The sequence below is a fragment of the Homo sapiens genome, chromosome 17, assembly GCF_000001405.40.
Source record: "Homo sapiens chromosome 17, GRCh38.p14 Primary Assembly".
In the NCBI taxonomy this organism is placed as follows: domain Eukaryota; kingdom Metazoa; phylum Chordata; class Mammalia; order Primates; family Hominidae; genus Homo; species Homo sapiens.
In genome coordinates, this window is record NC_000017.11 from 12,990,030 (window position 1) to 13,018,029 (window position 28,000).

Consider the following 28,000-nt stretch of genomic DNA (forward strand, 5'->3'; position numbering starts at 1 on the left):
AGATCTTGTCCACTTTGATATTCCCTCGATCCACATAGAGCTCGGGTCGACGCTCCGCCTGAGTCCCCTGGAGCACATGCGGCGACACTCAGTAACTGACAAGAGGGACTCGGAGGAGGAGTCTGAGAGCACCGCCCTCTGACATGACACCGCCCATCCTGCCTCGCGTGTACATACATCACGGGCCCTAGGAACGCCGCCAGGAGCAGCGTCCATGAGCTTGCCAAGTGTTCTCTGCTGGCTCTTTCCTGCCACTGCCAACACGAGGTTGGAATTTGGCAGAAAATTGTGATCTCCAGTCCGTGTGGTGATGCTGGTGGTGCAGGTTTTGTTTGTTCCTTTCGGGTGGTGACTTCGGCCTTTTGTTTGACCTTTGCCTTTTGACTTTGTGCCTCTTTTGATCCACTTTCAGCCTCCATGCCAGAAAACACCCACCTCTCCATCCAAGGCTGGTCAGGAACGTCCTTTGCAGGGTCGGGGTGGTGCGGGAGAGGCTCACTTTGCCTGGTTAGACCCAAGGGCTGCTACCTTTTCCTTGGACGGCTCATGTCAGGTCTTGCAGGATCAGTTTAATGGCCACAGAAAGGAAGCAGGACAGCAGGGCCCCTCTCACCCACAACTGGACCAGGTCCAGGATTCTAGCAGTCCTGGGGCACTGACCTTTGCCAGCTACCTGGGGGAGGGCTTGCCACTGGAAAACCTTTCAGGCCGCCCCCATCAGTGGGCTCCAAAGTAAATGGCTGAAAACAAAAATGTTTCACTTCCTAACAGTTTTCCTTTTTCCACTGTGTGACTGAAAGCTCCTATATCATTTTATATTTCTGAATCTATAAAACAAAACAAACAAGCCTGACAGTGTCTGGAGGAGCCAAAGGTGGCCTCCCTGTCCCCAAATATATTGGCTATATGAGAGTAATTTTACCCCTCTACGTACCTAAAGGCACCCAGTTCACTAGTCTGTGGGGTCCTGGAGCCTGTCTCTTCTTTCTGGAGGTTCAAACTGAATAGCAATAATTACGTTACCCAAAGCATGTGGAGGAAAAGTGAAACCAGCCACGGAGACGCTGGCCCACGGGCTCGGCCTGCGGTGTGGCCTGCTTTGCTCACCAGCGTCAGCCGCTCATTTCCTTCTCATGAAGTCCCATCTGGTCATGGGGACGAGGGCCGGGAGGGCACCGGGTAGCCTTTTCACACTTGGGGATTAGGGGAGTGAGAAAAGATTTGGGCCATGCATGCAAAGTCAAAGTTTAAAATTTTATCCTTTTCAAATAGATGATATAATATACCTATACATGATATAATATTTGTATATATGAAATCTCTCTATATTTGTTTAATTTGAGCCATTCAATCTAAACCAATGTACAGGTGTACAATGAAAAATTTAAATGCTTAGTTATTTTTCCCAACACAGTGTAAAGTCACCCTCCTCTGAGAGTGGGATGTGCAGAGTTTTGATGTTGCAGCTTTGCTCACTTCCTGGCAAGGGCAGGTCATGCCTCAATTTGTAATGGGAGTCTGGGGTAAGGGTGGGGGTTGAAAGTTGTTATCTTTAAATACATGTACAAATCGTTGTCAAAAGTAACGTTATTAAAATAGATTTATTATCCCTGAGCTTGGCATCTGTTCTTGCTTTAATAAACCTGCGGGGACATGGCCGTCAATCTCAAATGCACACCGGGATGGAGCCTGAAGGTCACCACCTGTGTAAAGCCAGGTCCCTGGCTGATCTCTCGCTTGCTTGTCTTTTGAGTTTTTAAAGCTCTTCTTTTTACATTCTCCTGGGTAGGGAATATACACAATAAATACTAGATTCAACTTACTTACTTACTTACTTACTTTACTTACTTACTTCCTTGGAAAATGCTCTCCATTTGTCGAGCACTAATCCACGTCTGTAAATCCCGCAAGGAGGACAATGGAAACCAGCCCCGTGTGCCATTTCTCAAAACCTTCGAGGGCAAAGTGATCCTCACTCCTCTCAGTATGGAAGCAACAACACAGCAAATCTATTGTCTCCACTTTTACCCAGAACCACCAGAAGACTTGCATTTCCCTGACCAATGACACCAGCCCAGCCAGGCTCTCACTGATTGATTTGATTGATTGATTGATTGATTGATAGAGAAAGCACGCCCTGCTGTGAGCTGGCACAGCTCGAGTTGTCAAAAAGACTTGGCGAATAAGGGTGGCTCTCTGAGGACAGGTTCCAGAGGTGCTCACTACGACGGGAGCTGACTTCTTCCAAGCCACCCGGGTACCAGGCAGCTGCCACACTACAGCACAGAGAGCCTTCTCCAAGGTGGTGCACAGCAGACCCTGCTCTGTAGCAGCAGCAGGAGGAAGCAAAAGAACTCACAATTGCAAACTCAATCTTTATTGCAGCTGAAATACTATTTTCGTTAAGTCTCGGACACTTAGACCCACTGATCCTGTTACTCTGCTTGTCTCTGGTGTGCAGGGAATCACTTTGCTGGATTAGAGGAAAGGTGCCGCCGTCTGTTTCCAAGACTTCTTTAAAAACTGCCTTGAAATGAAATTAGTTCATCTGCTTGCTTCCGTGTGGCAGCCTCCTGGCCCGCGGCTGTGCCAGGCACCAGTCCTAAGAGGCATCTATAGACTAGTGCTTATGTGGGAGCCCAAGCCTCGGCACAGCTCCATACCACCTATCCTGAGCTGCCTCCTGGGGGACCGTGCTCTTCAGCTTCTACCAGCAAGGAGGGCAGATACGGGTGCGTGCGTGGGGCAGAAGACACACAGCCTTCTGAGTTCAGGGTCTCCCAGATCTTCACTGGGCTCTGACCTTCTTGGCCTGTGGCTCCTCTGTGTGGGCCCGCTTCTGCTGAGGCTCCCCATCCTCCAGGCCGCCTGCCAGCTCCCTGGACAGGAGGGCCGCCCGCACCTGCCGCAGCTCCCGCTTCTCCCTGCGCTCCTCCATCTCCTCGATGTCGCCAGCAAACAGGGCTTTCAGTGGGGGAATCAGCTTGGGCATTGTTGGAAAGTCTCCAAAGCAGACCTAGAAGACACAATAGAAGACAAGGACATGTCTCAGAGGGGCAGGGGTGGGGGACAGGAGCTGGAAGGGATGCAGTCATGTGCTCACACAGCAGCGCCAACGCCCCTTCCTTGGCACAAGCCAACAGGCCACAGCTGAAATGGAAAAAAGAATGGCATGGAGGGAACCCTCTAAAGGGGCAGAGGCTCCCCAGGCCTGGCTAAGGGCCTCCGGAGAGGGAAGGGAGAGCAGTCCAGATGCTCTCAAAATCAAGCTCCTGAAAAACGAGGCCTGGCTCCGGCTCTGCCCCTTCATTCCGGAAGGCCAAGGGTCAGGCCTGGCTTTCCCACTCACAAGAGGCAACCACCTGTCTCACAGGTCTGTGCTGAGGCTCAAATGCCATGACTGTGTGAGCAGTCCAGGCCTAAAAGGATTCTCAGAAATTTCCAGTGAACTGAGACTGAAGACTAGTTGGCCCCTGCAGGAGGTGGGTCTCACCAGCAAACCCAGGGTGGTTCGACCTGGTTAGTGATGGGTAGATAACCTTTTCCCACGGTGGCCCCAAATAAGAAAGCAAACTCCAGCTGACCGTCCTACTCAGTGTGTAGAGTCCTGTCTCCCTGCCCCGTCCCCGCCCTGTGCTGTCCGTGTGACATACAGACCTTCATGTGGTCAAAGGCAACTCCCACTTTCTCGCTGAAGTTGGGGCTGAAGAGGGGGACCTTGGCATAGCGCTGGCTGAAGTGGTTCAGCATAATGAACTCCGCGTTCATCCGCATCCCCACGCTGATGGCTTGGGACGTTGTGCTGCAGGTGAAGGACAGAGCAGACTGAAGCTGAACTCAACTGCAAGACTGCAAAGCAGACAGTGGCACAGACCCTGGCCATCAACTGCCAGGGCACCCGGGGAAGCTGGTGGGTTTTCTTAACGGGCACCTCCGTAGCCAGCACAATCTCCCCTGAGGGCCAGAGCCTTCGCACACACCCCTGGATGAAGCCCACCCTCTGTGCTGGCTGCCAAATCTGTCCATGAGGGCACCCAAGAGAAACCACAGGGCCCACCTGGGGTAATGCACTCTTTCGTTGAAATTAGCAGCCAAAAATTCAGTCCCCCAGCCCCCGCCTTCCCCTGGCAATTCCCTGACATGGCTTATAGTTTATTCAGCCGATTTCTAGATGCTTTCAAAAAACTGTGCCTCACTCTAGAATCTTGCTTAGAAAATTCTGCAAAAATAAAGGCCAAGAGCCTGTGAGCACTGCCACAGGTCAAGGAAGCCCCCATAGCCCTTGATAGGAAGCAGGGCAGCCCCACATCAGTGGAGACAAACGACGGCTGCTCAGTGTCACGTAGTGGGGGAGGGAGAGGATGTGGGCGACAAGGACTGACCGGCCTTTGCTACCTGTGTGTCTTTTCCACTGCTTCCTCTTCCAAACCATCTTCCAGGGTGGCTTCATGTATCAGGAGGGTGGCATCTTTCCCTGGAGAAGCAGCACAAGGATCAGGGCAGAGTTCTCTGCGAGAGCGGCACACAGGCCTCAGTCACGTGCTGTTTCCTGGTCTCAACACTCAGCTCCCCTGGCCCTGGGTCTGCCTACTAGGATGACAACCAGAGACTCTGAGGGTGGGGACCTGAGTCTCCTGCCTCTGCTGACGTTTCCCTGCAAGCCCACCTGCATTCACCTCCAGCTACACAAACCCCAGAGCAACCTCAGGGTGGCTTGCTTCTTCCTCTACTCACCCATCCGGACCAGAGCCTCGCAGGGCATGGTGTCCCCGGAATAGACCACTTTCCAGCCAGAGGTGTGCACCAGCGCACAGCCAAACGCATGCTTGCAGTGCCGCACCAGACAGGTCTGAAACTGAAAGGGTGGGGCTGGAGGGCTCTGCAGCTCTGCTCCCCACCTCGCCCCCATGATGCCTGCGGCTGTGCCCCTTACCTCTTCCAAATCACATGTTCGCAACAGCGAACTGATCAATCTTTCCACTGCAGGACTGGAGATCTCAGCCCCTTCCTGAAGGCATTTGGCAGGAATCATACTGTAAAAAGACAAAACATTTAAAATGATAATAAACGTTTCTTGGACATCTGGAACCAAAGTTTAAGTCTTTGGCTGGAGAACCCCAAAATCATTCTTAGGAGAAAACATGAGTTAAATCATAGTCACTATGATGAGGAAACAGCAGTCAAATATAAAGAGCCAAACCAAAGCCTCTAGGCCACTGGGAGAAACCCAGCAGGTGAATGCTGCCTCCGGCTCAGGCAGCACGGGCCACGGATGGCTCCAGCAGAGGGGACTCCTTCCCCTTGGGGTGAGGATGGTGCCACCTGCCAGCTAGCCACACACCTGCTATGGACATTCTCTGTGCTAGCCACTATTTGGGTGCTTGGCTCTGGAACTGTCTCATCAAGAAAAGCTGCTCGAAGTTTAGAAAGCAGCTCAGAACTCAAATGAGGACTGGGAAGAAATGCTTCTAAGAAAATAAGCATTACATGGGAACTATCTAATGGTTTCTGTCCTTCAGCCAATGCACTTCTCCCCTGCTTCTGCCATCTGGGACCATGTCAAGGGCAAGGCTGCTGGGGGATATTGGTAACTACCCCAGTGTCCACCTTGAGCTTCTGAAGGAGACGGCAGCAAGCAACAGCCCAGCGGGCCAGGCTGCCCTGGATGCTCACCTGATGTGGTGCAGGACCTCCTGGCACTGGTTGTGGTACTGCTGGAGCCAGGCTTTGAGCTGGTTGGGGGCAACCACCAGCAAAGGGTGAAGCGGCTTTCCCAAAGATGCCTGGAACAAAAAATGCAAGTGCCGACTCGACGACAGAACATCTCAATAAAAACTGGAGTGCCAAGAGGCATGGCGGATGATGTGTAAACCGCTGAAACTCAGAACGCCCATCAAGTGCCACACTTACCAAGGCGCGTTCTCTCTGCAGCAAGATACTTGGCAAGCCCTGGCAAGGAAACAGGAGACATGCGTCAGCCAGGCCCCAGGGCCATCCCCTCCGGGTTAGGGTCTGCAGCCCTCTCTCTTGCAGGAGTTGCCAGCCCGACGTCACCCACCAGCCTCTAACACAGCCGCAGTGGGGGTGGCACAGGCCGAGCCCCCTGCGCCATGGCCCTGAAATGTCACAGGCAGAAAGCGACACGACCCGTGCTGGGAAGAGGGCAACGGCCCAGGGCCCGGCACCCCAGGAGACCAAGGTGAGGGTCTCATAGCCACACCTCCTGCATCCGGTCAAAGCTTCCGCTGAGCAGGCCGTGTGAGATTCAAGACTCAAGGAAGGCTGGGTAAACTCAAACCTGTCCTGCTGCAGGAAAGGAACTGAACAGGAAGAGAAGACATTCTTGTGGCGCAGAAGGACTATGTTGAGTTTTGCAAAAAACCATTTCCTAGCCAGAGATGAGTAACAAAAGCTCTGGGCAAGTTTGGAAGCGGAGGAAAAGACGCAGCCAAAGGGCCAACTCAACGTGGCAGTGCCTCCTCCAGGCTCCAGCTTTGTGGTCCAGCCCAACACTCACCGTGTGGTGATCTGCGTGCAGGTGGGACACAAACACAGCAGCCAGGGTGCCCAGGACCCTGTCCACCTGGTCTCCGTAATGACGGCACAGCTGCCCAAATGTGCCCTCACCACAGTCCAGTAGCAGAGACGTGTCGGGGCTGCAGAAGAGAAGAGGAAGAGAGTCACTGCCACTAGGAAGACTGCTGATGGTTCAGAGGCTGATGTCTGCTTTGGACAGGACCAAGAAGCAACTGCAGAAATTTCTGTCTCTCCTGCTTTGCTTTGAGGAGCTAATATAAAAGCCAATTAATTTAACCATAAAGGTGATTTTACATGTGTCATCCTCTTTATAGCAAAGAAGTATCCATGGAACCCTGAAACCCTTTCAAGTAGACTTACACAAAGGCTGGGCATCAAAAAAAAAAAAAAAAAGTTTATAGGAGGCTTAAAGCATTTAGTCCTAACAATGAATCTGACCATGCAGATTGACTGTGGCCACAGCCTCTGTTGAAAATACCAGGACAGGCACTGGGCCATATGAGACTCTTTCTAGGTCCAGCTGCCATCGGACTTTTCCCCCTTTGCAAGTGGTCGGGGTTTCCTCAGCTCATGTCCTCAAAGACACCTGGTGCAGGGCGGGCTGCAGGTGCTTCATTCAGGGAGCCAGTTAACGCAGACTCCCAGGTGTCACTCGGGGTTTCTGACTTGGTTTTAGGCAGGGCTCTGGAAGTCTGGATTCTGACAAACTTCTTGGGCTATTCTGCTGTGCAGTCCATTTCAGAAGCTCTGCTCCAAGGCAGAGAGAGTGCTGACCCGCTCTGGCCTCCTTCATTCTCTGGGAGGAGCCACGAACACTGAGAGGGCTGCACCCATTTTGCAGAGAGAAGCCCCGGTGCTAAGACATTACCTTCTGGGGGAAAAAGGAGTCGGGAGGCGGAGGCAAGGTGGCAATAGCACCTTCCCATTAGCTTCAGCTGGTTCAAAAGCTGCTCGCAGGGTGTCAGGTCAAACTCAAAAAGCCCTTCTTCCCCCAGGATCTCAGCCCCCGGGAGAGGCCGGCTCACTCCAAGCTGCTTTATTGCATGTCCTCATCCACAGAGAAACACACCCCAGATTGTATATTTCTGATGTCAGGGCACATCTCGTCACTGCTGTATATATTTAATGCACTATTTGGTTGTTTATCATCCACCACTAGCATGTAAGATGGCAGAGCAAAATTTAAAACAAACCTGGTAATTCACAATCTTATTTTCTTCACATACTATCTGTAGAGATAACGTGTACATGTCACAACGCATTTGACTAATCTCTCTGCTGATGACCCCAGGCAAACCCAAGAGAATCAACTAAAAAACATGTCAAGGGGAATCCAATAAAGGTTCTGAACACAAATGTGCAAAACCCTAAAGCTTTTTAACATACTACCAACAAATGGCTGGGGGACAATACCATGTAGCAATCAAGACCCCAAGTCCCCGCTCAAACTTCAGATGCCCCACTTACCAGCTGTAGGAACCATAGCAAGTCACCTCTCTGAATATCAGGTCACTCATCAACAAAATGGGTAGTTATTCACCACTTCATAGGATTAATGTAAAAATTAAAGGAGCTAATTTCTTAGCTAGGTGTACTGCCCACAGTAAAATCAGCTGTTTATTAAAAGACATCATGGGATGAATTTTGGTGATTCCCAGGGTAAAGTTTGCTACTGAGGCTATAAAATGCAGTAAGGCCACGCTCCTCTCCTGGACACTCCAGTCGACATGACAAGTGACAGGGCTTGATACCGCATTTCAAATCGACTGGTGAGTACAGCAGGACTTTTGTTTAAAAAGTAAACGTGCCCTTGATGGAAGGATGCTTCCTGGGAAAGCAGCATACCTTATGTTGACAAGTGTGGCACTGACATTTCGAATCTTCATCGGGATGGCAGACCCTGTTCCAAGGAAGATGATTTCTGGGTACTGACTTCTTTTCTCTGTGAAAAAATCCATGTGAAACAATCCATTCCTTTGGGTCAAAAGTGAGCCAGCATGCAGCCATGAGAAGGTGCAATGGTTTGAGTGTCATTGGTTTGTCCCCAGACCTCATGTGGAAACGTGCTCCCTAGTATGGCGGTTTTGGGAGGCGGGGCCTAGTGGAAGGCGTTTGGGCTACAGGGACGGACCCTCCTGAGTGGCTTGGAGCTGCAGTAGTAAGTACTGGCTCTCAGGAGACTGCATTACTTCTCAAGGGAATGGATTTGTTCCCAGGAGAGGGGGGTTGTTATAAAGCCAGAGTGCAGCTCAGGTTATCCCGTCTTCACAAGCGTCCACTTCCTACTTGCGCTCCTCTGCCACGTTATGATGCAGCATGGAAGCCTTCACTGGAAGCTAGGGCCGTGACCTTCAATTCTCAGCCCGCAGAACCGTGAACTAAATACACCTCTTTTCTTGATAAATTACCCAGTCTCACATATTCTTTTATAATAACAAAACACAGACTAAGACAGATGGGTAAGCAACATAGTTCTATCCAGCTTCCCAGGAGGGGGACTGGCAGGCCCCTGGCAACCGCTCTGAAACAAAGGACTTCGCACCAGTGTGGGACCCACAGGCTATCTGTCACCAAAAGGCTAAGAAGAACAAATAAATTCTCCAGTCCTTTCTTCAAAAGAATTGCTGTAATTCTTTTACATTTAAAAAATGACATTTCTTTATGCTGGGAACTGTCATTTATTTCAAGAGAACAGTGTGTGCCTTGCATCCAGCTCTCACTGCAAGACCATGCACTTCGGTCGCATCCTCCCAGCCCTACCAGGTAGGAAATGCTCTGCTTCCCAAGGGGGAAACAGGCTCAGACGCCCAGGTCTCCAGTGAAGATGGTAAGAGGCAGGGTCAGGATTCAAATCCAGGGAGACCCGATGGTTCCAAAGCCTGTGCCCGGCCCTCAGCCTCAGTTGAGTGACGTGGCCAAGATCCTCCATGGATTTGCATCCGCAAAGCCAGGACTAGATCTCTGCCAGCCAAGTCCCTGCTCAGAGCTCTTTCCACAGGTGTTCACTAAAACGTTTCACTCAGTGCGTGCCTTGCCAAGAATGCCTGGGTGCCATCGCCAAATGCTCTGATTGGGTGGGATGGGGCACAGGAATTGGGATTTTTTTTTTTGAGACGGAGTCTCACTCTGTCGTCCAGGCTGGAGCGCAGTGGCACGACCTTGGCTCACTGCAAGCTCCGCCTCCCGGGTTCTCGCCATTCTCCTGCCTCAGTCTCCCGAGTAGCTGGGACTACAGGCGCCCGCCGCCACGCCCAGCTAATTTTTGTATTTTTAGTAGAGACGGGGTTTCATCATGTTAGCCAGGATGGTCTCGATCTCCCGACCTCGCGATCCACCTGCCTCGGCCTCCCGAAGTGCTGGGATTACAGGTGTGAGCCACCGCGCCCAGCCAGGAATTGGGATTCTTAAACTCCCCAAAGCCCCCTCCTCCAATGACTATAATTCTAATGTAGAGCTGAGTAGAGAAGCCCTGGATTAGACTGAAAAGCCAGGTTAGAATGCGCCCCACCAGCACTCCACTTAATGCTAGGAAAACAGCAGCAGGGGCAGAGCCCAGGAAAGAAAGGCTGCTCTGTGGGCTCCCACTCACCTGCTGGGGCTGGGCCGTCCTGCGCACTCCTCCTGTACTCCTGCACGCTCTGCTGGAAGTTGGGAAGCTGCAGCGCCTCAACTATGAATTCCTCAGGATTGCAAGTAATAATGGCATCCCTGCAGGAAGAGAGAGAAGCATCTCAGGTGACGGACAGGGTATATGGCCTCAGCAGACCCCATTGGGGATGTCCAGAATAAATTCAGGGGGACAATCTGCAGGAAGTTCCTTCAGATCAACACTGAAGGTTAAGTGACTAGGATCTGGGGCAGGTCTGCTCCACCGCCTTTTGGATGCTGCATCGCTCTGCCTCAGGGCCAGTCAACGGGGAACTACTGATGCTCAGGGCAAGACAGTTTTTTTCTGTGGCCAGTGCTGCTGTCCTGGTGCAGTACCCCTGACCTCTACCCACTAGCAGCACCACTACCCACCTCCTAGGCTGTGACAACCAAGAACGTTTCCAGATGTTGCCAAATGTCCTCTGAGGGGTCAATGGTCCGAGCTGAGAAGCAGGGGCCCTAGAGGAGTGACTCTGAAACTCATGTTCACACCCAGGAACCTTGGCAAAACGCAGAAGCCAGTTCGGCAGCTCTGCAGTGAGGCCTGAGATCCCACTTTCCTAGCAAGCCCCAGATCACACGGAGTGGCAACTCCTTGGACAGGCGGCTCTTCAACCTCGCTGAGCATTAAAATCATCTGGGAGCTTGTGAGTCCCAAGCCTAACTCTCAAGATTCTAATTCACTAGGTCTAGGGCAGGCCCTGTGCAATATTTTTCACAAGCACAAGGTAAATCTGAATGTCGGCTAGGGCTGTGTATCGCTGCTGTGTGTTAAGAGCCTGCGCAGATGCCAACAAAGGGACACCAGGTTCTTCAACCCCGTGATGTTGCCTGTGGGCCCGAGTCTTGCTAGTATAGTCTCTTAAAGGGCCCCAACTACCCAACCTCAACAGCACACAGCATCCAGTCATAATCCAGCACATGCTCTATTCTAATACAAATACTGTGGAGTGGGCAGGAAACTTAAAATCAAGGTTCAGATCCTTAAAAATTAAAACAGGCCGGGCACGGCTCACGCCTGTAATCCCAACACTTTGGGAGGCTGAGGTGGGTGGATCACCTGAGGTCAGGAGTTCGAGACCAGCCTGCCAACATGGTGAAACCCGTCTCTGCTAAAATTACAAAAAATTAGCCGGGCGTGGTAGCAGGCGCCTGTAATTCCAGCTATTCGGGAGGCTGGGGCAGGAGAAATGCTTGAACCCGGGAGGCGGAGGTTGCAGTGAGCTGAGATCACGCCATTGCACTCCAGCCTGGGCAACAAGAGTGAAACTCCGTCTCAAAAAAATAAATAAATAAATAAAATAAATAAATTAATTAATTAAAATAAAGATGTGGGGCAGTAAGGCTGTTCACTTTCCTGGTTGGATTGTACTGGAAGAGGCTTTCAAGATGGCATCTTACATTTATCAAGTACCTTAACAAGTCTCACACTCTGGGCCAGTAATCCCACATTTAGGAATGACTTGAAGGGAACAGAGTTCCCATCAAAGATTTATATATAAGACATTTATTGTTTCATTCATTAAAAACAACAAAAAATTGGAAACATCCCAAATGAGTAAACATCCCTATTTGGAATACCAATAAAAATCTTGTTACTTAAGACTGTTTAGTGATACAGGAAAAGACTGACAATATAAACCCACATACACAAATCAAGAAACACAAAATGTTATCAATCATTATCTCTGGGCAACAGGATTATGGGTGACTTTGTTCATCACACATTTCCTATTTTCTATACTGTGAAACACACGAGCTCTATCACTGCTATTCCCATGCAAGGCAATTTTGGAAAAGGAGAACTACTGGCCCCAATCCGCCCACCTCAACCCAGCCTGGAGTAGGCTGCTTTTCTAAATAAATTCACGCTGGCACACAGCCAAGCCCATTCATTAGCTTATTGTCCGTGTTTCTTTTGTGCTCAAAGCGGAGTTGAATAGTTACAACAGAGACCATATGGTCTGGAGAGCCTCCTGGAACATTTACTATGTGGCTATTTACAGAAATGTTTCCCAACTCGACTGAGACGATTCCATTAGTTCAAGATGGCACAGACCTCTGCCACTCCCTCCTGGGACGGAGCTGGTACTTGAGGAGGCATTCACCCTGAACCATGGGCACACTGAGGGTGGGGCCCTCCTTCTGAAAGAGACAAAACACATTCATGGAGAGAAAGAGAGGGGACGAGAGCTGGGCCGACAAGGGGCCGGTCTGAGACACTACCTTACAGCGGAAACTGGTGAGCAGGGGGAAGATGTCCGGGTGGATGAGGTTGAGCTGGGTTTGAATCTTGTGGCTGCGAAGGTTGTGAACTGAGGCACAGTTCTCATTCAGGACCAAGTGCTGGGTGTCAGGCCCAAACCTGTGAAGAAACAGACCCGGCATTTGCAGCGTCTGTTAGGAGGCAGCTCCCCCTGAGGAGTGGTGCTGAGCTCAGGAGTGGTAATGAGGATGAGGTGTTCAAACAGTTCAGTGACTTGCCCCAAGCAGTGTTACTACATGGCCAAACATGGTCCCACTCCTGCTGTCTCAAAGCCCGGTGTTCCCTAGCTCAGCTGCCTTTCAGGTGTGCTGGGAAGAGTGAGAGGAAAAACAAGAAAAAGAAGATGTCCAGGGCATACAAATAGGGGACCCAAACCCTGAGGAATGAAAGAGACAGCAGGAGAGCAGGCCATGGAGTGAGGGGCAGGTAAACGGGCCATGTGGGGAGATACGGGCAGGGGCCAAAAAGCAGCCCAAGGTCACCCCGCACCCGAGCTCAACTCATACTCCTCCACCTGGCCCTGGCCAGCGATGCCCCGAGGAAAAAGATGCCTTCCAGTGACTAAACATCTACCTCCCAGGGCTGCTGGCGACGACCCTAGAGGAAATGAAGTGAAATGAAGGGTATTTCACACACTGCCTCCCACAAAGTGGGCATTCAGTAAATGGAAGCTATCATTTTATAGCTGCAATCTCTTCTTTGGAATTCACTTATGGAATCCTCAACCAAACGGCAGTATTTGTTCAGACACCCTGAAGAGTGTGGAGGGTGTAAAATAAATGGAATCGTGTGGACACTGCGCCACCTAGCGGTGCATTTTCTTCACGAGTGTAGCACAGATCTGGGAAGCCTAGAATTCTGGGAAGGCAGGAATCCCACAGAAAGTTTAGGCAGGTGCAGAAGGGTAGGTAGCGCTGGAAAGAGCACGAGGGGAGGAAAGGGGAATCCACCACTGCCCAGAAGAGTTACCCCAAGTGCCGCTGGGCTGGGCTCCATACCTCTCCATCCACTGCTGGTACCTGCTGTCCACAAGCACAGATGCTGGGGCCATGTGAACCACCAAGGCCACGGGGGCATCTGCCTTTCCTTGGTACCTGGGCAGAAGAGTGGGGCTTTACAAAGTGATGCAGACTCAGGACACACCAAGACAGGGACCACGCAGCCAGGGAGGGGTATCGTGCGGCCCTCTGCAGCACTGCAGTGAGCTGACAGCCTCCACGCCCAGGCCATGCTCTCACAGCAGGCTGCTCACGGCAGACCCCGGTGCTGGGCCATTTCCAATGGACGTGGGATTCCTGTATCTGGCAAGCTCTGCTCTGGGCTTTCCAGTAGGCCTGGCTGATCCTTTCTCAGCACTGCACTTCCTTCCTACCCTCTCCACTCATACGGGTCCAACCTGCAAAGCCAGACCCAGGCTCTCCCTGCCTCCTCCTGCTCCCTCTCTCCTTCCTCTCTCACAGTCAAATTTCCTCGAATAAACCTCCTGCACCTCCAATGCCACCCTGGTGTCTGCCTTCCAGAGGACCTGAGACACAGGCACGAGAAATGAAAATCATCTGAAATTTCACCACCTGGACAACAGACCACTTACTAACATGCTGATGTGTTTCCCTCCAGTTCCCTTTAAAAAGAAATATACACAGTAGCTATTTTTATCTATCCCAGCATCATCACACATCCACACATGGCTCTCAAATGACACCTGATTCATTGAAGAGGTTTTGCTGCCCAAAACTGGATTAAAATACAAAGCCGGGGCTACCAGCGCATCCAAATTCACCCACAGAGAATAAAGCAGACCATGAAACAACTCCTAACGCTCTGACTCGGAAGGGGTACAGCAGCCCAAAAGGATTTGTTGTGGTAAGTAGAAAAAAACAAGTGAAAAAATACAGATAGATACAAACTAGGAACAGGAAAAATACAGGTAAACCATTAAGAGTGGGGGAAAAGATTCAAACTCAGATAGGTGGGTCAAAGATGATTCCATCTGGAATGAAAGCTGAACCGCAAAACTGGTTAACTTCGATAGAGGACAACAACAGAGTGGCAGTTAGCCCAAAAGACATTCCCCAGCTGTGAGTCCATCCCATAACACGGACTCTTGACCACGACAGTCTCACACACTCTGACCCACCTCATTTGTTTCAATGCAGGTAATGGAAGAAAATTAATTCAGTTCAAAATAATCCAAATGATAATCTGGGGCATTAGTTAGAATTCAAAAAAGTTCTAGAATTTCTTCTGGTATAAGAGCTGTAAGAGTTCTAGTTGAATTTCTAGTCCTCAGTTGTTTCTAGTTTTCAATCTTTTCTAATTTCACTTTGAGGCTGTGTACACCGGAGCCCACCAACTACCAACAGTGACTTAAGGCAGGAGTGCCGGCCTCTGAACTGTAAACCCAGATAGTGGTCTTCCCAGAAACACAGCTCTTGCCACAAGATGCCCATGTCGATGCTGGGCTGGGTTTCAGCTCTCACTTCTCCCACCCTAGAGACCCCTCATTACCTCTGAAAGGTGGCATTCTCACAGATGGGTTGAATGAAGCTTTCATCTGGACATTCTACCACCACAAAAGCAGCACCAGGATCTGGAGGAGTACACAGCTCTTCAGCCAAAATCTGCAAAACCAAATAAGCCCGCCCACTGGGGGTCACAGCTCAGCCACCAAACTGAACTGCCTTCAAGGCAACTGCTAACATGACATATCCTATCCAGTGAGCTGAGAGGTAAACAAAGCACAAAACCAACTTTACACATCACCATCAACACCCTTCTGGTCTCTTTGTGGATACCTAAACAGGTAACTGTCAGGTTGAGGCACTTCAGGCCTACACTGGCCAGGAAAGGAGGCTTGGCATTAAGGTTTTCTTCAGTCTGTGGCCACTGGTCCTAATGTCCTCAGAAGTCAGAGGAAATATCTTGACATAGAATACTGTGGCATTCCTCTGGACCATAAACCCCAGGCCCATCCATATGGGGTCTGTTGTTAGACACTGTCCTGAGCTCAAGTACCAAGGAAAGCATGCACCCTTTAAGGAGGACGGTGACTAGATCCTAAATGGACAATCTACAAAAATGCTCGAATGCAGCCGTGTTGACATGCGGGACAAACACAGATAAAAGAGGCCATTTTATCACTTAGCTGAGTGATGTCCAAACTGTTCCACGTCCTTCAAAAGTGGTGTCTGTAGGGCCTGAAGAAGACAGACTCTGCCCAGCATTTCAGACCCTACCTGTAACTGCTGAATCAAGAAAACCAGGCATCTCACCTCTCTTCCTTCATGAGTGATGCTTTTCCCGTCCTTGACAGCAGCAATGATGGGAGCGATGGCAGCTGTCCCACTGAAATGAAGAGGCAAGGCCTCTGTGAAATGTGATTTCCTTAAGTGGACAGGTGTACCCAGTGAGTCCCCAGAAGCCTTACCCCCCACACTCACACTGGGAGGCCCATCTCCTTTGCTTTGAGCACCAAGAAGTTTCCTCTCTTTAAGTGAAGCTGCAACAAAGAGAACATAGATGTGATCTTAGGGGCTAATGAAGAAGGTTGGTTTTAATCAATTTTCTTAGAAGTGTATTTTTCTAGATTAAAAAAAAATAATAATGTTGGCCAGGCACGGTGGCTCACGCCTGTAATTCCAGTACTTTCGGAGGCTGAGGCGGGCAGATCACCTGAGGTCAGGAGTTTGAGACCAGCCTGACCAACGTGGAGAAACCCCGTCTCTACTAAAAATACAAAATTGGCCAGGCGTGGTGGCACGTGCCTGTAATCCCAGCAACTCAGGAAGCTGAGGCAGGAGAATCGCTTGAACCCAGAGGCGGATGTTGCAGTGAGCCGAGATCGCGCCATTGCACTCCAGCCTAGGCAACAAAAGCGAAAGTCTGTCTCAAAAAAAAAAATAAAAAATAAAATGATGTTGTTTCCTTACAATTCATTAAAATGCGTTTATTGCTTTCAGAAGGTATACCATATTCTGAAGAAGTCATTTATTGTCAAATGCTTTAGTACTAAAAGCCAAAATGACTTAAATCAGTGTTTTATTTCCCAGCATTAACTCATTATAAATTTAATAAAATGTAATTCAATATGAAAGTTAATAAATATCCTTCAAGTATCATTGAGGAGAAACACTGTTCTGTCATTCTACATTCCTCAATTAATAGCTAAAGGAATGTCACCAGAGCGTTGCCTAACAGAGCAACCAGCAAGCAAACTGCCATGTAACATAATATTTCAATGACAGTGATAGGCTAACAAAAGCATGGATGATTTTTATTTCTCTTGTATTTTTCAATTATGTGGCAATATAATGTCACTGCTTTTATCTTGGAGATAAATTATAATAAAAAATCTCTAATAGCCAGGCACAGCGGCTCATGCCTGTAATCCCAGCACTTTGGGAAGCCGAGGCGGGTAGATCATGAGGTCAGGAGATCAAGACCACCCTGGCTAAGACGGTGAATCCCTGTCACTACTAAAAATACAAAAAATTAGCCGGGTGTGGTGACGTGCGCCTGTAGTCCCAGCTACTCGGGAGGCTGAGGCAGGAACCCAGGAGGCGGAAGATTGCAGTGACCCGAGATCGTGCCACTGCACTCCAGCCTGGGCGACAGAGTGAGACTCTGTCTCAAAAAAAGAAAAAGAAAAAAAAAAAAACCCTAATATGCTATTACATTAGAAAGGCAAACAATAATTCTACCAGAAAACTTCACAATCATTTTATAGGAAAAAAAAAATTTCACACAAACAGAAAAATGTCAGAAATGACATGTAGGCCTTTGAGTGCTAAATGACATTTGATTTCCATTTTCTCCTTTAAATCTTCATCAACTGTGCATCTTCTTTTAACTCTCTGAAGTTAAAGAGTTACTCGTAGGGCTGAGTCTCAAATTTGGATCTGAAATCCTTATTCTCAGGGTTGTAGAATTTTCCATCTTAAAAAATATCATCCTAGATGAAGGATTACAGCTTCAGTGTGCACATCACACAGTGATGATTGATGGCTGACATCTTTAGATAACTAACAACCATGTCACGACCCAACATTCTCTCCACACACCCAAACGGGTTTGAGGATGGCAACTAAATGTCTCTAATGTTTAAAAGGTACTTGCTGTTGGGGGCAGTGGCTCACGCCTGTAATCCCAGCACTTTGGGAGGCTGAAGCAGGAGGATCATTTGAGGTCAGAAATTCAAGACCAGCCTGGCCAACATGGTGAAACCCCGTCTCTACTAAAAACACAAAAATTAGCCAAGTGTGGTGGCGGGCACCTGAAGTCCCAGCTACTCGGGAAGCTGATGCATGAGAATCACTTGAGCCTGGGAGGAGGAGGTTGCAGTGAGCTAAGATTGCGCCACCGCACTCCAGCCTGGGCAACACAGAAAGACTCCGTCTCAAAAATAAATAAATAAATAAAATAAATAAAAGGTAATTGAAGGCTGGGCATGGTGGTTCACTCCTGTAACCCCAGCACTTTAGGAGGCTGAGGAAGGCAGATCACTTGAGGTCAGGAGTTCGAGACTAGCCTGGCCAACATGGCGAAACCCTGTGTCTACTAACAATACAAAAATTAGCCGGGCATGGTGGCAGGCACCTGTGATCCCAGCTACACGGGAGGCTGAGGCAAGGAATCACTTGAACCTGGAAGGCAGAGGTTGCAGTAAGTCGAGATGGCAACACTGCACTCCAGCCTGGGCAACAGAGCGAGACTCCATCTCAGAAAAACAAAACAAACAAAGAAACATAAAGGCTGGTCATGATGGCTCACGCCTGTAATCCCAGCACTTTGGGAGGCCAAGGCAGGCGGATCAGGAAATCAAGAGATCCAGACCATCCTGGCCAACATGGTGAAACCCCGTCTCTACTAAAAAAATACAAAAATTAGCTGGGCATGGTGGTGCGCTCCTGTAGTCCCAGCTACTCGGGAGGCTGAGGCAGGAGAACTGCTTGACCCTGGGAGGCAGAGGTTGCAGTGAGCCAAGATCGCACCACTGCACTCCAGCCTGGTGACAGAGCGAGACTCTGTCTCAAAAAAAGAAAAAAAAAGGTACTTGCCGACTTAAGGCAGGGAAACCCATCTCCCTGGGAGCTGAACTCAACCCATGGAGATATGTTCCTCTCTGAGGAATGCAGAGTATCTGGAAGACTGATGAGAGCCAGAACGCAGCCAATAACGCCCCAACAGTGCACCAGCTGCCCAAAGCCGAGGTCTTCCAACAGATGAGTTTTTCAGGTCCTCATGCCAAGAGACTCCTGGAACTTGACCTAGCTCAGCTTTATTGCTTTCCAAAACCTCACCTGAGAGCAGCAAATTAATTAGAAGAGGGGAAAGGCGTTATAGGCTAATCCAGTGACAGCAGCCCTCAGAAGGAGCCGCAGAAGACAGCAAGGAAGGAGATGGAAAAGCCAGGGCAGGCAGCTGGCAGCCCCCAGGAACGGCTGCCTGATAATAGGGCAACTGCCCGAGTGTGTAAAAGTGAGCTTGTCACTTTTCATCATGCTCACTGTTACCTATTCCGGAAAGCAGGAATACGATTTAAAGATTACCATAGAAAACAGTTTAAAAATCAGACAATATAAATATAGATTATCAAAAATAAAATATTTTTAAAACTTTAAAAAATGATTTTGCTATCTAAAACTCAGAAACATACAAGTAATAAGCCTGTTAACAGTAGTACTTAACTTTTATGAAAATCACATTATTCAAATAAATCGATAGAAATGATACTGGCAATGATCTTGCCACTAATATTAACTACTTACTTTCATTATTATTTTCACTTGTAGCTTTTAGAATTTAGATAACAATTCCAAATATATTTCAAAATCAACATTAAAAAATAATCTAAGCCCACAAAAAGGCAATGAAATCTTTTCACATATTTAGACAAATTTGTTGCAAATTGTATTGATAAAATTTTAATGCAAAATTCTATTAAAAATAAGCCACTAGTCAGATCTTACAAACAGCTTATTGTAACAAAAATTTTTAATGGAATTTGACCAATTTCAGAGTTACAGATCTAGGCCTTTGTGAATGCTAGCTAATATTCCAATTAATCTGGTGTTAGACCTTAGCTATTGCAGGGGAATGAAATAAAGTAAAACAGAGTTAAAAGACTTTGAATAAAGGCCTGATGGAGTTGAAGGAAAACAAACACAGCTGCCTTCAATAATTTCTGAATTCTAAAAGGACCAATCATTGGCAAATATAAAAGAATATGGACCAGGCACAGTGCTTCACGCCTGTAATCCCAGCATTTTGGGAGGCCAAGGTGGGTGGATCACCTGAGGTCAGGAGTGAAACCAGCCTGGCCAACATGGTGAAACCCCATCTCTACTAAAAATACAAAAATTAACTGGGTGTGGTGGCGCGCACCTATAATCCTAGCTACTTGGGAGGCTGAGGCAGGAGAATCACTTGAACCTGGGAGGTGGAGGCTGCAGTGAGCCGAGATTGTGCCACTGCACACTCCAGCCTAGGCGATGGAGACAGACATGGTCTCAAAAAAAAAAAAAAAAAATGTACGGAGGCTGACAGGGCACTGGAAAAAAATTTAAAAGGAAATAAAAGTATGGGGTTATTTTGAGAAACAGAGCATCTAAACTCTGAAACCTACAAGTGATGACAATTATGAAAGGTCAGTAGTAATACTTGTTGCAGGCTCATTGCCAGTGTCATTTCTATCGAATTTTTTTTTTCTTTGAGAGAGTCTTGCTCTGTCACCCAGGCTGGAGTGCAATGGTGCAATCTCAACTCACTGCAACCTCCGCCTCCTGTGTTCAAGCGATTCTCTTGCCTTGGCCTCTCAAGTAGCTGGGATTACAGGCATGCGCCACCACACCCAGCTAATTTTTGTATTTTTAGTACAGACAGGGTTTCACCACGTTGGTCAGGCTGTTCTCAAACTCCTGACCTCGTGATCCACCTGCCTTGGACTCCCAAAGTGCTGGGATTACAGGCGTGAGCCACTGCACCCGGCCTTCCATCAGCTTTTCTGAAGATCTGCTATCTCTTCTTGTCTCAGGTAACAGGAGTGCCTACCCTCAAATTAATGAAAAAGTGCAAACCAGAGGTCGCTGACCAAGACCCCAGTCATGTACAGCCCTCCGGAAAGTCTTCCTTACCTTACAGATGAAAGCTACGACCAGGGAAGAGTCCCTGACCCCTCTTCTCTGGCTAACACCTGAGGAAAAACACACTTGATTATCACAAGGTAAATGTGAAAGCTGTGAAGACATCACAGACTGATTATGACCCGATACCTAATTTCACTTCACATAAAAATTAATGGACGCTACTGTCCCAATACAAAGGCTGAAGACACTAATATACTCAAGAAGACTTTTTTTCCCTACTTATGTGGAGATGTGTTTGCGTAAATGAAAAACACAAAACTCTCACCAGAAAAACTTTAGAATGGCAAGTGAAATTTTTTTTAAATGACACATTTCACCTAGGACTGGAGAAGACAGAGAAAAATATATTGTAATGTGCTTTATAACACATATAATATATGAAATAACACAAAAGTTCAAAGGCCTGCAGAGAAAATGCTGGTGTCAGTCTTTACCCGGTGCCATCCAAACAAGGACAGCACATAGGGGTCAGCCTGTTCTCAGTCACTAGACAAGACCTCAGGACAGAAAGAGGAGCTGCCGAGCTTTGCCAACGCTGACCTTCTGTTAAGGACAACAAACTCCCGAAGCGGCCTGACTCCTGAGCTACATCTCATCTTGGACTTTTAACTCCGTTTCCCAGTGGGCTGTCATTCTGGAAGACGTGCAGAGCCTCTCACTGATTTGACTGTCTCATTGGCTTAGCAGTTATAGTTTCCACATTAATGGAAAATTTGCATAAATGTTACATTAATGAAAAATACAAAATGAATCCGTTTGTCAGGCCCTGTTCTCCTCTGGGAAAACAGAACACAGTTTTGGGCCTACCCAGACCCTGGGTGGCCAAAACTGTGGACTGGTCATTATTAAAGTTGCAGGCTGCCACCTTTACAACAACCCTTCTCATTCCCCCAACGGGCCAAGTTATAGTAAGCCCAGGAAGAAGGATCTGTTTACACACCTGGCTTTCTTACAATAATGACTCTCTACAAGCATTACAAGGCAGAGAATTAAGAAAACGCAAGCCTTTCTGCTGCTCTGTTTTGTTTATACTATTACCATGTGGAAGGTGTGGCTCATTTTCATTCGACTCGGAGTCTGAAGATCGCTCTGGACTGAGCCTGCTGAGAGGCCTTTCTGGACTCTGCCATGGTTGGTGCTTTCCCCTCCTCTGTTCACCTGGTCAGTACAGATACCACCAAATTACACACTGCACAAGGTGAGCTGACAGCCAAGGCCCAGACGTTCATACATGGGAATGCCAGAACGCCAATTAAATCAGCACACCTTTTACTATACAGTAGGAAATAACTAGTTAGTTAACTTCCTACCTGGTTTCTGGGCTGCACCTATGTCCTATTAATGTTTATGTTTCTGCTTAGCTCACAGCCTCGGCCACAGTACCAACTCAACAACGTGTTATCTAAACAGCATGTGGGTTGTAGACATGCTTATTTATTATCATCACTCCCGCTAAAACACATAGACCCAAAGGGTACCTATCTCAAGAAGGAGCCTCATTTTACATTTAGTTAAGGCTCAAGATCAAGGGAAAAAAATTCGCTGCTCTAAGAAGCTAAAGCACAGCTGCAACGAGAATGAACGTAAGTTCACTCACTGAGGGCCGCTGGACACTGAAAAAACAGTGATCGGCAAAACTGAGCATGTTAACATCGATCACGCAAATCACATATGAAAGTTAACTGTCACATGCCATGGAGCGAAGAACAGGGTGCTGGAAATGGACAACAAACAGGTGGATGCAACTCAGGCTGGGGGTGGCTACAGCAGGGGTCAGGTGAGAGAAGGCATCTGAGCAGGAGGAGCAAGCCAGGCAATGGGAGTGCTGATCAGCTCATCACAGCACTGGCCTAGGAGCACTTGTGCCATTGCTCCGGCACATTCCTCTCCTCCCTGCTGCCTTCTGCCTTCAGTCAGTGTAAGCCTCATCTCCTCGCCAGGTTCTGGACTTCTCTGGCCTTTGCTGGGTGCTCTGGTCTGTCACCCATCAGCACTACTTAGTAAGCATCACATTAGTTAGTACTAACAAGGAAATACCCCTACTGCTTGGTACTCTCTTCACATGTAAGTAAAACCAGACATGAATGTCTTTAGCCAAGTTCAAGGACAAGACTAACTCTTTTCCTAAGCTAAGACCACATCATCTGGCCCTGATACTTCGGAATTTGCAGGAGCTTCTAACCCCCAACAACACTTCTTTTAGGTTGCTGTAATCATTATTTATTTAAAAAAATCTATCTGTGCAAACCTCTTCATGATCGTCTGATCAAAAGAGGGTATTACGCCTGTGGGAAAAAACCTCCAAGCAATGAATGTGCAAACTTGAATGCAATCTATTTACCAACAGTGCTTGATTATCTAATATTCCAAAGCATAATCACTATCATTAGGCATAAGTCAGACATCCGTAAGTTTATAAGCCAGGGCAGGAGCCATATCTTCATTCCTCAACTAAATTTTCTAATCATGCTCAGAACACAAAACAGGGTGCCCACAGCAAGTGTTCAGTTTCTATTTTCATCCATGTTTTCTTTACTCAGGACGTACACCCTCCTCCTGGGAAACCTGGCTTTCATACTCACTGTGTATGGGGATCTGGTAAACTGTCATGGTTTCATCCTCGTATTCTGGGGCAGAGTGGGGCCGCACAGCTACAAGAAAACCACACAACAGCAAAGTGATTGCATTAGTGAAGATGTGTGGGAAGAGTAACTTCAGGATCACCAACCACGAGCAACTGAATTGCCTCAGAATTATGGTGGGAATCTGACACGAAAACCAGACTTTCTAAGGAGATTACCATTTTTAGGAAATAAATAAAAGTGTATTTTGGTCAGCCATTTATATTTACTACAGCCAGATGAAAAGACATTATAATCTTTGGTGACTATCCGTTAAAAATTGAAAAACAAGAAACTAGTACTCAACTTTCAGAGACCCAAGTTAACAAACAGAATAGTGAAGCCAGGGAACCTATCATCGCAAACCAGAAGAGCTGATGTATATTTTGAAACAAAGTATTAGTGTTTCTATAAAAGAGGAGTATTAACAAGCCACAGATACACACCAGTGCCAGGACAAGAGCCCTACTAGCATCCTCAGTGAGGCCTCTTCCCATCAAGAGGCTGTAAGCCCCCCTGCGCAGCTGGAGCTGCGTTTCAATGTACAAAGTTGGCCACAAAACCTCTAGGGAACCCTTGTCACCCCCGCCCCCAACTCAAAGCAACTCAACGACGAGAAGCACCTCTGGAACTGAGGCAGGAGCCCTGCCGTCTGGATGGAGAATGCCACACAGCATGTACACAGGCAGGCATCAGCTGTTCAATCACTCCTGCCGACCTGGCCCCTATTTTTACAGCATGAGGTGGGAACACAGAAAATGTCACTATTTAGAAATCCCATCTCCAGCCACATGGTAGCTCATTTTGGGAGGCTGAGGCGGGCAGATCACAAGGTCAAGAGATCGAGACTATCCTGGCCAACATGGTGAAACCCCGTCTCTACTAAAAATACAAAAAATTAGCTGAGCGTGATGGCATGCGCCTGTAGTCCTAGCTACTCAGGAGGCTGAGGTGGGAGAATGGCTTGAACCCAGGAGGTGGAGGTTGCAGTGAGCCGAGATCATGCCACTGCACTCCAGCCTGGTAAGAAAGCAAGACTCTATCCAAAAAAAAAAAAAAAAAAAAAAATCTCGTGGTGATGAAGCATTTGATTTTGAGGTTTGATGTTGATGTTTTTAATGGATTCTAATTTGAGAGGTCAGGGCATATATAAGTTAGAAATAGCAGAGGATGAGTCACAGACAAAGACGTACCCAGTTCTATTCCTTTCAATGGACCAGAAAATATTTTGATTGCTTCGAGGTATTTTTCCTAATGAAAAACAAAGAAATGAGCAGTTATGGTTGAACAAATGTAGAACACAGCAACTATTCAAGTATTTAAAAGGTTACCAATAGGTATCAACATAAAACAAAGCTTAGTAAATATTTTGAACATCATTTATTACAAATATTTACTGAGTATCCATTATATCAGATGCCAAGGATATAGCAGGAAAAAGAGATGGAGGCCTTGCTCTAATCAGGCCAGTGGAGGAGACAAAAGGAAACACGATAACAGAAACAGCTTAGTGGCATTATGCTAAGTGCTCTGCAAGGAAAATGAAAAATACAGAAGGCTGGGATCCAACTTGTCTAGAGAAGAAGAGGCAGTTCTGGAGTAAATGACCCTCTAGCTGAGCCCTGAAGGTTCAGTAACAATATAGGCAGCAATTAGAAGAGGCAGAGGGAACCCGCGGAAGGGCGAAAGTCCTGAAGTGGCCAGGGAGTTAGAGGGACATAAGAGTCAGCCCATGCAGCTGCAGTTCAGCGATGGGTACAGATGGAAGTGTGGGTAGCGGCCGGGGCCTACAGGACTTGTAGGCCATATCAAGGTGTTTTGATTGTATTGCAATGGGGAGCCCATGAAGGGCTTTAGGGTGGCAAGTGACACACTACTTTTCTGTCTTGAAGTGACCTCTCTGGCTGCTGTGTGGCAGATGGATTACAGGAAGGCGAGAATGAATATGGGAGGCTATTGTAGTTTACAGGCATAGAAAACAGAAATAAGGAAGGCCTCAATAAGAGACAAATGGATGGATTTCAAACGTTATTTTGGGGAAAGACTTAACAGGTCTTGGTGACTTTCTTCTTAAGGACTGGAAAATGAACTGTTATATTCAACAACACACACACGCCTTCTCAAGAGTGTAATAAGCTGGACTGAAAGGTAAGAAGATGTCAGAAATTTATTGAATAAAAACAAAAGCTGCCCTTTCTTGTGTGCCTACTTGGTGCCAAACATATATCTAATAAAGTGATTTAGTGCTTTATATGTGCTGCTACGTCATTTAATCTTTAACAACTCTATGAAACGTGATAGTCATCTTATAGATGAATAAACTAAAGCTCAGAAAGGTAAAGTAACTTGATCAAGGTCACATAGTTAATCAGAACTCAAGTCTTTTTAACTTGAAAGGGGAAGCGTTTCAACGACCAGGTATCTCTGGAGGGCAGAAGACTGATTTGCAAAAAGGAAAATTCTTGTTACTGATATTACAAAAGGAAAGATTGCTTTTGAAAGATGTGTCAGGAAAGACTCACCAGTTGTGGAGGTCCAGAAAGTACACACTTTGGAAGCCCGGTTTCCTTTAAAGTAAGAATCATTCCTAAAAAGGATGCATAAAATCAGATCTCTCATCAATTTGACCTGTCGTCACTAACAGGAGGAGCACCCCGTACTAATCCAACTATTTATCTACATCTCCACCTTCCAGCTTTGGAAGTACAACCAGGGAAGATGTACAGAGCAGAAGTGATGCCAGCTAGAGGTGTAACAGACACCAAATATTCTTTAAATGCCTCTAGAATGGGCTGAGCTGTCACTAGGGTGAAGCAGCAAGGCACCCAGTGTGCAAAATGTAAGGAATCATGCAAGTGAAGGGCTGGCACCCTAAGTGCCTCACCCTAGTCTCAGCCCTGAGAAGGGAGACTGGTCTAACACTTCACTCCTTCCGGTCCATGCCACCAAGCCCACACAATTTGGCTGCAACACAATCCTGACCTTCCGGTTGATAGACATAAATGACAGGGTAATCTGGACAGTGGGTATGTGTGTGGCTGCCAATGTGCCAATGGCGTCTGCGGTAAACATATTAACTGTAATCACCACTGCTAGACTCTCCAGTTTACTGCCACAAATCTCTGTCCCCGCAACGCAAGAAACTAAGTGGATGGTAACACTTAAGAGGTGGTATCCATATTAAAATCTGTTCTCCTGAGTCACAGCTTTTAATGCTCTGTGCTGCTGCTGACTGGGCTGGTATAAAAAGAATTCCAGGCCAGGTGCGGTGGCTCATGCCTGTAATCCCAGCACTCTGGGAGGCCGAGACAGGAGGATCGCAGAAGTTTGAGACCAGCCTGGGCAACATAGCAAAACCCCGTCGCTACAAAACATACAAAAAAAATTAGCCAGGTGTGATGGGGCACACGTGTGGTCCCAGCTATTTGGGAGGCTGAGGTGAGGGGATCACCTGAGCCCAGAAGGCAAAGGTTGCAGTGAGCCAAGATCACGCCACTGACAAAAAAAAAAAAAAAAAAAAAAGTAGCTGCCCACCCCAGACTTGGAAAAATGGTAAAGCCGGTTAAAATCCCAGAGACTTCCCACCAGCCTCTGACACTGCAAAGAATATACTCACCACTTAAGCCCCCAACATTAGACCAGTGCATTCGTGTCAGGAATATGTTGTCCAGGCGAGCAACCTTTAACCTAAGAATGAAAAAACATTTAAACAGGATAACATGAACAGAACAAGGACCACTTTTGCTATAAAAAACAACTGGCCTCTCATTTCGGCTTTCAAGCCCCGTAATCAACTCCCCCTCCGAAAGCAAGAGACTGACTCACTTGTGCTCCTGCATGAGTCTCTGAACGCCTTCTCCACAGTTGAAGAGATACCTACAAGACAAACATTACACAAGACATTCAGAAGGTTTTATTCTGTAAACTCTCTGACACCAATTAGATGTTTTATTGTAGACTCTGGAAAAAAAAAAAAGAAAAAAAAATTAAAAGTCCACGTTGGACTACCGAGCCACATTTATGCTGGTGGGTTTTGAGCCCTCCTTAGCAGAGGTGGAGAGGAGTGGGGGCCTGTGTGTGTGGGTGCTAGGACAAAATGAGTCCTTTCTCCACCACCGGCTACACACCAGATCTGTCCACCCCACACGCTAACAACGACACACTGGCCTTGGGGTGCACGGAAGAGGGTGGAGCTCCGAAAGTGCTGACAGCCAGGCCGGGGCCCAAGGGTTGGGAAAAGGACGCTCAGACCCAGGCCTGAAGTTCTTCACAGATCCGCAGAAATCACATGGATGCAAAGAATCTCGGATTTCCCACCCACCATAACTCCACGAACCCCCGCAACAGTGAACCACATGTGTGAAGCAGGGAAGCCGAAGCCCTGGGAGGTGCCCCGATGCTCAGAGGCTGCGCCGCACTGAGGGCCCAGCGGGACGGGGCGTGGCTCGTTGACTGACCGGTTGAACTCGGAGAAGACGTAGAGCGCGGCGCCCGAGTCCCGGCTACCCGCTGCCACCACCTGCAGGTACACGGTGTTTGGGCCGCCGGAGCACCCCGACGGTCCGCGCTTCTCTCGCGTGCGCAGGTGCCGCAGCGGGTCCTTGCGCGGCCGCTCGCGGCGGGCGGGTGCCTGCGATATGGTGCGTCCCTGCGACATGGTGCGTCCGGCCGCGGACCGCAGCAGCGAGCAAAGCGCCCACATGCGCCCGTCTCCACCAAAACTGAGAAAGCCGCCGGTCACCTACGCCCGCGTTTCCCGTGCACCACCTAGCCGCTCCGCATGG

The 28,000-nt window shown here is 48.1% G+C and overlaps 2 protein-coding genes across 15 annotated transcripts in view, besides 3 other annotated features; one reads left to right on the forward strand and one right to left on the reverse strand.

The window, feature by feature from the left end:
* The window catches only part of ARHGAP44 (Rho GTPase activating protein 44), a 202,146-nt gene extending 200,532 nt beyond the window's left edge, over nt 1-1,614 (forward strand). For all 10 annotated transcript variants that reach the window (NR_135569.2, NM_001321167.2, NM_014859.6 and 7 more), the window contains one exon: nt 3-1,614. Coding sequence is in view for 6 of the 10 variants with exons in the window: in NM_014859.6 (NP_055674.4) it covers nt 3-142 (140 nt within the window). In the remaining 4 variants the exon portion in view is untranslated. The remainder of the gene's footprint in view (nt 1-2) is intronic.
* Nucleotides 1,583-27,998, reverse strand: ELAC2 (elaC ribonuclease Z 2). Of its 5 annotated transcripts, none has more exons than NM_173717.2 (24): nt 27,674-27,998; nt 27,042-27,092; nt 26,833-26,903; nt 25,739-25,803; nt 24,410-24,467; nt 23,178-23,246; nt 21,634-21,753; nt 20,584-20,642; nt 15,892-15,950; nt 15,724-15,796; nt 14,960-15,072; nt 13,450-13,545; nt 12,412-12,550; nt 12,245-12,327; nt 10,127-10,245; nt 8,383-8,479; nt 6,518-6,656; nt 5,911-5,949; nt 5,674-5,783; nt 4,934-5,033; nt 4,735-4,855; nt 4,396-4,474; nt 3,658-3,802; nt 1,583-3,016 (listed from the first exon to the last, which is right to left on the reverse strand). In NM_173717.2, exons 1-24 carry the CDS (start codon nt 27,916-27,918, stop codon nt 2,789-2,791), a joined length of 2,478 nt encoding a protein of 825 aa, NP_776065.1. In that variant the 5' UTR covers nt 27,919-27,998; the 3' UTR covers nt 1,583-2,788. The 5 variants fall into 5 exon arrangements, with proteins under 5 accessions (NP_776065.1, NP_060597.4, XP_024306629.1 ...); NM_018127.7 differs by having other exon boundaries at nt 12,245-12,330; XM_024450861.2 differs by lacking the exon at nt 27,674-27,998 and adding an exon at nt 27,553-27,635 and having other exon boundaries at nt 12,245-12,330.
* Nucleotides 27,314-27,814: an enhancer, noted in NCBI's record as "H3K27ac hESC enhancer chr17:12920660-12921160 (GRCh37/hg19 assembly coordinates)". NCBI's record gives its function as "activates a minimal SCP1, AML or CMV promoter by ChIP-STARR-seq in naive H9 embryonic stem cells {active_cell/tissue: H9 hESC(naive)}" and the evidence as "EXISTENCE:reporter gene assay evidence [ECO:0000049][PMID:30033119]".
* Nucleotides 27,326-27,435: an enhancer, noted in NCBI's record as "active region_11740". NCBI's record gives its function as "activates an Ori minimal core promoter by ATAC-STARR-seq in GM12878 lymphoblastoid cells {active_cell/tissue: GM12878}" and the evidence as "EXISTENCE:reporter gene assay evidence [ECO:0000049][PMID:35858748]".
* Nucleotides 27,456-27,515: an enhancer, noted in NCBI's record as "active region_11741". NCBI's record gives its function as "activates an Ori minimal core promoter by ATAC-STARR-seq in GM12878 lymphoblastoid cells {active_cell/tissue: GM12878}" and the evidence as "EXISTENCE:reporter gene assay evidence [ECO:0000049][PMID:35858748]".